This window comes from Homo sapiens, chromosome 5, assembly GCF_000001405.40.
Source record: "Homo sapiens chromosome 5, GRCh38.p14 Primary Assembly".
NCBI lineage: Eukaryota > Metazoa > Chordata > Mammalia > Primates > Hominidae > Homo > Homo sapiens.
In genome coordinates this window covers 54977592-54986274 of record NC_000005.10, presented here as the reverse complement: position 1 = coordinate 54986274, position 8683 = coordinate 54977592, and the positions used below count along the sequence as shown (strand labels likewise).

General features: G+C 37.3%; 1 protein-coding gene across 2 annotated transcripts; it reads left to right on the top strand.

Moving 5' to 3' along the window:
- The first annotated feature begins 681 nt into the window (after positions 1–681).
- On the top strand, positions 682–8408 carry ESM1 (endothelial cell specific molecule 1). Of its 2 annotated transcripts, NM_007036.5 has the most exons (3): positions 682–1058; positions 4129–4278; positions 6840–8408. In NM_007036.5, exons 1-3 carry the CDS (start codon positions 758–760, stop codon positions 6941–6943), a joined length of 555 nt encoding a protein of 184 aa, NP_008967.1. In that variant the 5' UTR covers positions 682–757; the 3' UTR covers positions 6944–8408. The 2 variants fall into 2 exon arrangements, with proteins under 2 accessions (NP_008967.1, NP_001129076.1); NM_001135604.2 differs by lacking the exon at positions 4129–4278.
- The last annotated feature ends 275 nt before the right edge of the window (positions 8409–8683 follow it).

Genomic DNA, 8683 nt, shown 5'->3' with positions numbered 1-8683 from the left:
CTCAGAGGCAGTTCCACATTGTACTGGAAGCACAGCTATATCCACAATAGGCTTAGATATATGTAACATGAATTGCTTTAGAAATAACATTTGAGGAGAGGGGTGAGAGGAAGGAAGAGAGGGTCTTAAAAAATAGCCCTATCAAAATATTTTCTTTCTTCTAAGTATTGAAAAGACACAATATAACCCTTTCTTCTTTCAAATGATCTCATAGCTATTTGTTGAGGGGAAATACCAAATGTTTATTATTTTTTTTGAAGAAGCTTCTTCGGTCCTGATGATTCATGTTGATATCATTTTCCTCCTGACTACAGAGGCTCTGAGACAAAGCTACACCTCAAGTGATATGCCAGGGTCAGAACAATTCCCGTCCTGAAGGAGGGTGTGCAACCTTCTTTATCCCTCCTTCACAGACGTCCTTGAGCCCTTGAGACGGATGTGAGTGAGTTTTTCAGTCCTCATGCAAAACAACCATCTAAACATAACAGATGACATCAGCTTGGGCTTTTCAATTCCTGGATGGCAGCAGCGTGTTAATCCAGCCTTCATCCTGGATTTCATAAACCAAAACAAGAGAGCCTGGCAGGAGGACAGCGCTGCTGCTGGGTTGAGGAAATTGATGACGGGAAAGCATGCGGGCAACCCAGTGTATAAAACTCATAAACGTGTAGGCAGAGGCTCAGCTACCAGTTTGGACGGCTGCTTCCCACCAGCAAAGACCACGACTGGAGAGCCGAGCCGGAGGCAGCTGGGAAACATGAAGAGCGTCTTGCTGCTGACCACGCTCCTCGTGCCTGCACACCTGGTGGCCGCCTGGAGCAATAATTATGCGGTGGACTGCCCTCAACACTGTGACAGCAGTGAGTGCAAAAGCAGCCCGCGCTGCAAGAGGACAGTGCTCGACGACTGTGGCTGCTGCCGAGTGTGCGCTGCAGGGCGGGGAGAAACTTGCTACCGCACAGTCTCAGGCATGGATGGCATGAAGTGTGGCCCGGGGCTGAGGTGTCAGCCTTCTAATGGGGAGGATCCTTTTGGTGAAGAGTTTGGTATCTGCAAAGGTAAAGAGTGACCCCTTACCTCTCCCCTCCCGGGGCATGCTGAGAGCTTTTAGCCAGCTTGGGAGGTGAGGTGGCTTTGCTCCTCAAGAGTAAGAGGGAAAAGGCAGGTGGATTCTTGACAAGGCACCACACAGGTATTGTCATGGGTAGAGACTGAAGGATAGCTCCAAGTAGCAACTGAAACCAGTGTGCAGGAAGGCACAGAAAGAAGTGTGGCATTTTACTCGTTGCCTTAGGAGATCGCAAAAAGAAAGCTGCAATGGAAGATTGTGTTGGCTCCTTTTCTGGAAAACTTTAGAAACTTGACAGGTAATCTGTTAAGGATGGCTTAGGTGCTCTCTCCTCTGCGAGGCAGCGATTACAAAGGTCTGCACTAGATAACCTCTTGGAATGGTTTCTAGCCCCCAGATTTAGTGATTCTTTGATCTTGAAAGGGTCCACAGGATGGAGGGCCACTCTCAAGATCAAATATTTCTGATAAACACAAATGCACTTTATGGAATAGAGTGAGCTTAAGTCATCTAACAAAATAACTCACTCTTCAAAGAGGGTCCCCTGAAGCATAAAACAAACCTCATCTGACTTTATAAAGGTTTTGGTCATCTGGAAAAATAGCAGATGGTGTTAAGACAAGGAAAAATAACAATAGAGAAAAATAAAAACTGGAAGTCTGTAAAGAATGAGGTTGACCACTTGTACACTTAAAGAAAAACTTCGTCGGTTGAAATTTTAGCTAAATAATGTAGTTAAGCATTTGTAGAATTTATTTTAAACATAGTAACTAGTTTAAAATATTTAACATTTTAAAAATGTTTAGAATAAAAAGAATGATGATTTAAAAATACTCTACGTATAGATATCTCATGATCTTATTATGAAGAGCTATTATTAAGAAGCAACACATGCTATAACCCCATCCATCAGTTGTGTAATACCAGGAAGCTTTCAAAATTATAAAAAGGACTGAGAAATTTCTAAATAATTATTATGTTTTATGTATTTAATACATTTTTTATGAATAATATTTATCCAGTATTGTGCTAATCTCATTAATTCTCCTACTTCTTAGACATATAATGTATAAATTAATCATCTTTTAATTTGCAAGACATACAAAATTAAAAAAACAAATTCTTAAAGTATTAGGAGAGTTTTATTTTTTGCTTAGTTTATTTTTGTTTATATACAATAAGAAATAGAATATTGAGAAAATATTTTGTTTGGTGAACACATATGCATGTTTCTTTCAACTGAATAGGATCTGTATATTTTGTAAATTATGGGGCTTATTGACCAAGAAAACAGTACTTCACATAAGGAAATTAGGGAGGAAGTGGTTAACACAATCATACTTATGATATAGCATGTATATGCAGTGGATTGCTTTTTCTCTTGGCATAATATGCCTTTGTACATGTGATTGTAAATGTACATTACATATGGGCAAAGAAACAAGCTGTGTGGCATCTGGAGTCTTTAGCACTGTAGTATTCTACTGAATGATCAAGATACTAAAAAGATCTTTAAGATTGCTTCTTTTGGCTTTCTTCAGGTTGCTGATGAATCTAGTTTTAAGCATTTTTCTCTCTGCTGGAAATAGGAGACTTTGTGAGCCTTAGCAACTCGAGATAGAGATAATACATTTGGCAATCATCTCCCTTCTTCAGCTTTTTAAAAGAACATCCACGTGAAAACTGTAAACTTCAGCTGCGTATCCAAATGTCTTCTAAATATTCAGATGTCTGTGAACATCTTGCCCAGATTAACAATCAGCAGCCAACACATATTTAATGAACACTTACTATCTGCCCAGCACTGTTCAGTACATCAGGGGATACACTAGAAGTATCTCTGGGAATTTGGCTAAAGTTTTAGTTTTCAATATCGCTGCAGGCACAGTCAAATCCTAATCCTGTGTGCTTTTCTGGAACAGGCCTTTGCAGGATCCCTTTTTAAGATCTCTTCTTCCCAGCAAAGAGAACAGTGTTCAAAACCAGGTTCCTCTGTGATCTGAACCATATTGAAAAGAGCACTCATAGATCTCTTTAAAAAAAGATAGCTCATTGATGATCTACTTGGTCAGTTAGTGGAGTATTAGACTGCTAGAGACTCAGATGGCTCACAATTTGTTCTTTACCCACCTGTGATTGTACATTTACAAGGTATTTTCACAACAAGAGAATATTCTATATCTATTCTGCTGGCTTTTAAAGGTTGGTTAGTCTACTGAGATGCTGTTTATCCTAAAAACAGCATTTTAAATAATTTTATGCATTTTAAATAAACGACTTTGTCCTCTTTATTTCAATGTAGGATGTTTTGGCATAAGTGTAAGCACTGGAGGTCTAAAAGCTTCTAGTTCTTGGTAGGTGTACAAACCCTCAGGGTGTATAAGCCCTGAGCTTTCTTGCTCATTTAGCATCTTGCATGTTAGCCTTGCAGAGGATTTTACTAGGGAGCCCTCTTAACTACTGAGGGAGTCAGGCAAGTTGTATGACATGCCGTTTCGACAAATAAGGAACTTGATAAGGGTTGGAGCAGATGGAAGATTGATTGCTTCATGGTGAGCTAGGATGATAGCTCTCTCCCTGGTTAGTTTGAAGCCCTTTCCTATACACTTAAAATAGTAAATTATCTGTGAATACAGTAGATTCAAAGATAGCATCACATTTTAAAAACTCTTTGAGGAGCTGATGCATATATGTCTGTTCAATTTCCCACCTTTGCTGAGCTGTTACAGAGGTCATCTGTGAGAATTTATTGGTATCTAAGCAGAACATCACCAGAATGAAGACTGGTCCAAGGAGACTGGCTGTGTGTAGCTGTCTTCAACTTAACTTTACATCACAACACTAAGCCCGAGGCATCCATTATCTGTTCTTAATGTGTGATTTCATATTTATGACTCAAAGTTTCAACTTTCAAATCCTGGGTTTGGAGAATTGGATTTTACTTTACAGTCAAGGTTCATGAGGTTGGTTCAAATCGCAAGGCTATGCACCCAGGGCTGTTAGGATGGAGACGTATTTACAACAAGCAGCGTCCTCTCCAACCTTTCCTTTGTCCCCAGACTGTCCCTACGGCACCTTCGGGATGGATTGCAGAGAGACCTGCAACTGCCAGTCAGGCATCTGTGACAGGGGGACGGGAAAATGCCTGAAATTCCCCTTCTTCCAATATTCAGTAACCAAGTCTTCCAACAGATTTGTTTCTCTCACGGGTAAGCACTGATTCTGGTATAAGCATTGGAAGAATAGTCTCATTTCAGTGTGAATAACTTAGAAAATATCTGTGAGTAGAATAAGATGTGGATTGGAATGATTTTATTTCCTTTGCTTTACTCAGGGGAACGGTGGGTGGTAGCTGAGTTTGGTTGCTGTTGCTGTTTTCTAAAAAGAGCCCATCAATAATTTTGAGGTTTACATATAATTTCTCATAAAGTTTACCTGGTTTAAATATGATTTATAGGAGGATAAATATGATTGATTACCAAAAATCTGTAATAAAAAATAACCAACTGAGATACACAAAGTTCTTTAAATTCTTCAGTGATCTGTTTTATATATTTACTAGACAAAACTATTTATCTCCCAACTTCACATAGAAAAAGTACTGTGAGGAATTTATTGGATAAGCTTTAAGAGTCAAGATAGAAAATATAGAACGTTTCTTTTTTTTAACCAAATGAAAGCATTTAAGTGTAATAATTCCAAGTGTGTGTTTTTATGGATTTTGGAGAGGATAAGAAATAGTATGTGATTGAAATTTTGGAAATGAATGAAACTGTAGTAATACGTGCTGCTTGTTAGTCCGTGTGTATTTCTTATACAGGTGTTAGAATGTGAGGAATACACAACCTATGAGATGGTGCTATGTACATATTTGTTTATTTTGTTGAATAGCTGGCCAGTACAGGAGAGTTCCATTAAACTGAAAGTAGCTCATTTAAAGCAACATACATCACTAAAGCTTAGGCCTCCATTGCACAGAATGGCGATTGTAGTTAATAATTCTTATATATTTCAAAATTGGTAAAATAATAAATTTTAAATGTTCCCATCACAAAAAATAAGTATATGAGGTGATGGATATGCTACTTAGTTTGAGTTCATCATTCCACAGTGGAGATATATATCAAAGTATCATATTGTACCCTAAATGTATACAATTATTATTTGTCAATTAAAAACTGTATTTAAAATTATAAAAAATAAATAAATAATAAGCCCAACATATAGTCACAGAGATGGCTAGTATCAACAAATGATATACTTTTTCCCACCACAACTATAAATAACAATTCAAGTCCATTTTATTTAGTTTTTGCTTTTGGTCTTTTGCATTTCAAGTTAATAAAATATAAACTATTTGGCAAAGGTGCTTGTTTTCTAATTTTACCTCCTTCTTATGTATGGGTCAACTAAACACATTAAAATGAAGCGGAAATATCGTGCTTTTAAGTGAATTATTAGTTTTAAGTATGGTGATGCCCATAACAATACTTACATTATAGGTTACACAAAAATATTTCCACATCAAAGTTAGGCATTGAGATTCTTATCAGAAATATTTGAAAAAAGCAGTCAGTTTCTCTCTTTTCTGACCTAGGGTATTTCCTTTCATTAGCTAAAGGTGCAACCAGCAAAAGATGATTTTTAGTGTGATCTTGGTAAACCTTAGTCAGGTTCAGGATGGAGAGCAGAAAACCCTAAGGACCTCTTGGGGAGGCTGCCTAGGGTTCTTTGTAGTCTACATGTGTCTTTGAGACTACATGAGACTTCCAGGTTCATGCACTGGAGTTTACAGGAGAAGGCTTGGGCTTCACTCCTGACACAGGCTTCACATCACCTCTGCACAAACCTGTTTGGGCCCAGCCTTTGAGAGCAGGCTAAATGGCTGCAAGCTTCACCAGCACTAGGACCCCCAGAGCACGAGCTTGTCTTCTCCAACTTTCCACCTGCTGGCTACAGCACTCTTGTCAAATGTGCTTCCTGTCCACAGTGTTCCACTTGGTGTTCTTTTTTTTGGCAGTGAGCTTCCCAAGTTGGGAATTCACAAGTAAGTTTTTGTGTACGAGGGTCTTGGGGGAGTAAGATCTGGAATGTTTCATGGACTTACACACATTCGTCTGCTGGGCCACGCTAATCTTCTTAAAGCATTCCACATCAGAATGTGCACTGCCAAAGCAAGCACACCTCACTACTCCTTGAAGTAGAAAATTTCATTTTAGCAAATTTCAAATATTACAAACTTTTCTCATATGTAGAGTGAGAAGTGTCTTTATGAACGTTCTACCCATTGGTCTGCCTTTTGCCTTCTGGATGCAGCAAAAGTTAATCTGTCTTTCATACCAGTTAGTGTAAGAATCTAACTTGAGACCTGTTTGTACAACATTTGCCTATTCCATAAGTATTTATTAAGTGCCTACTATGTGGCAAGCACTGTCCTAAGTGCTGGAGATATAGCAGTGAGCAAAATAAAGTCCCTACCTTTGTGAAACTGGAATTCTAGTGGTGGAGTGAAATAATACACAGGAAAAAAAGACAAATACATGTAGAAGATAATGTCAGGTGACGATAGGTATACAAAGATAAGTAATTCAAGGGGTGCTATTGTATATAGAGGTGCTCACTGATATAGAGCAGTGAATACAGTTAGCATGGAATCTTAAATTGATTAAAGATTTCATTGTAAATTCCATGTAAAACAAAAATAAAGCAAAACTGTGTTGTCTTTGAGCTATAGATGTTTGGACATGATTTGTATTCCGTCTACTTTCAGAGCATGACATGGCATCTGGAGATGGCAATATTGTGAGAGAAGAAGTTGTGAAAGAGAATGCTGCCGGGTCTCCCGTAATGAGGAAATGGTTAAATCCACGCTGATCCCGGCTGTGATTTCTGAGAGAAGGCTCTATTTTCGTGATTGTTCAACACACAGCCAACATTTTAGGAACTTTCTAGATTATAGCATAAGGACATGTAATTTTTGAAGACCAAATGTGATGCATGGTGGATCCAGAAAACAAAAAGTAGGATACTTACAATCCATAACATCCATATGACTGAACACTTGTATGTGTTTGTTAAATATTCGAATGCATGTAGATTTGTTAAATGTGTGTGTATAGTAACACTGAAGAACTAAAAATGCAATTTAGGTAATCTTACGTGGAGACAGGTCAACCAAAGAGGGAGCTAGGCAAAGCTGAAGACCGCAGTGAGTCAAATTAGTTCTTTGACTTTGATGTACATTAATGTTGGGATATGGAATGAAGACTTAAGAGCAGGAGAAGATGGGGAGGGGGTGGGAGTGGGAAATAAAATATTTAGCCCTTCCTTGGTAGGTAGCTTCTCTAGAATTTAATTGTGCTTTTTTTTTTTTTTTTGGCTTTGGGAAAAGTCAAAATAAAACAACCAGAAAACCCCTGAAGGAAGTAAGATGTTTGAAGCTTATGGAAATTTGAGTAACAAACAGCTTTGAACTGAGAGCAATTTCAAAAGGCTGCTGATGTAGTTCCCGGGTTACCTGTATCTGAAGGACGGTTCTGGGGCATAGGAAACACATACACTTCCATAAATAGCTTTAACGTATGCCACCTCAGAGATAAATCTAAGAAGTATTTTACCCACTGGTGGTTTGTGTGTGTATGAAGGTAAATATTTATATATTTTTATAAATAAATGTGTTAGTGCAAGTCATCTTCCCTACCCATATTTATCATCCTCTTGAGGAAAGAAATCTAGTATTATTTGTTGAAAATGGTTAGAATAAAACTATGACTCTATAAGGTTTTCAAACATCTGAGGCATGATAAATTTATTATCCATAATTATAGTAATAATAACCTTAATAAGCATAAGAAAAACAGAGTCACTCTGGATTTCAAAAATGTCAAAAAATGAGCAACAGAGGGTCCTTATTTAAACATAAGTGCTGTGACTTAGGTGAATTTTCAATTTAAGGTAGAAAATAAGTTTTTAGGAGGTTTGTAAAAGAAGAATCAATTTTCAGCAGAAAACATGTCAACTTTAAAATATAGTTTATTTTCATATTTTTTTCTTTTAAACTTGGTTGATAAGTGGAATTAGGAGTATATTTGAAAGAATCTTAGCACAAACAGGACTGTTGTACTAGATGTTCTTAGGAAATATCTCAGAAGTATTTTATTTGAAGTGAAGAACTTATTTAAGAATTATTTCAGTATTTACCTGTATTTTATTCTTGAAGTTGGCCAACAGAGTTGTGAATGTGTGTGGGAAGGCCTTTGAATGTAAAGCTGCATAAGCTGTTAGGTTTTGTTTTAAAAGGACATGTTTATTATTGTTCAATAAAAAAGAACAAGATACAGCTTCTCTGTGTTGATTTGTGATTTTGTTAAATTGCTAAATGTTATTTTAACAATTCATTCAATAAATAAGAACTCTCATTCATATTAAAGGACAAGCTCTTCAACAGAATTTTCTGCTCTGGATAAGCCTCTTCTATCAAAACAGGGGGTCAGGATATTTGCTTCTCTGCCTCACATTTTTGGTCTACTCATTTTTTAGAGTTTCCTAAAAGTAGGTCCCAATATATTAACTCATTCTGCAAAACAACAACACAAGGTAAACACTTCTGTTGAC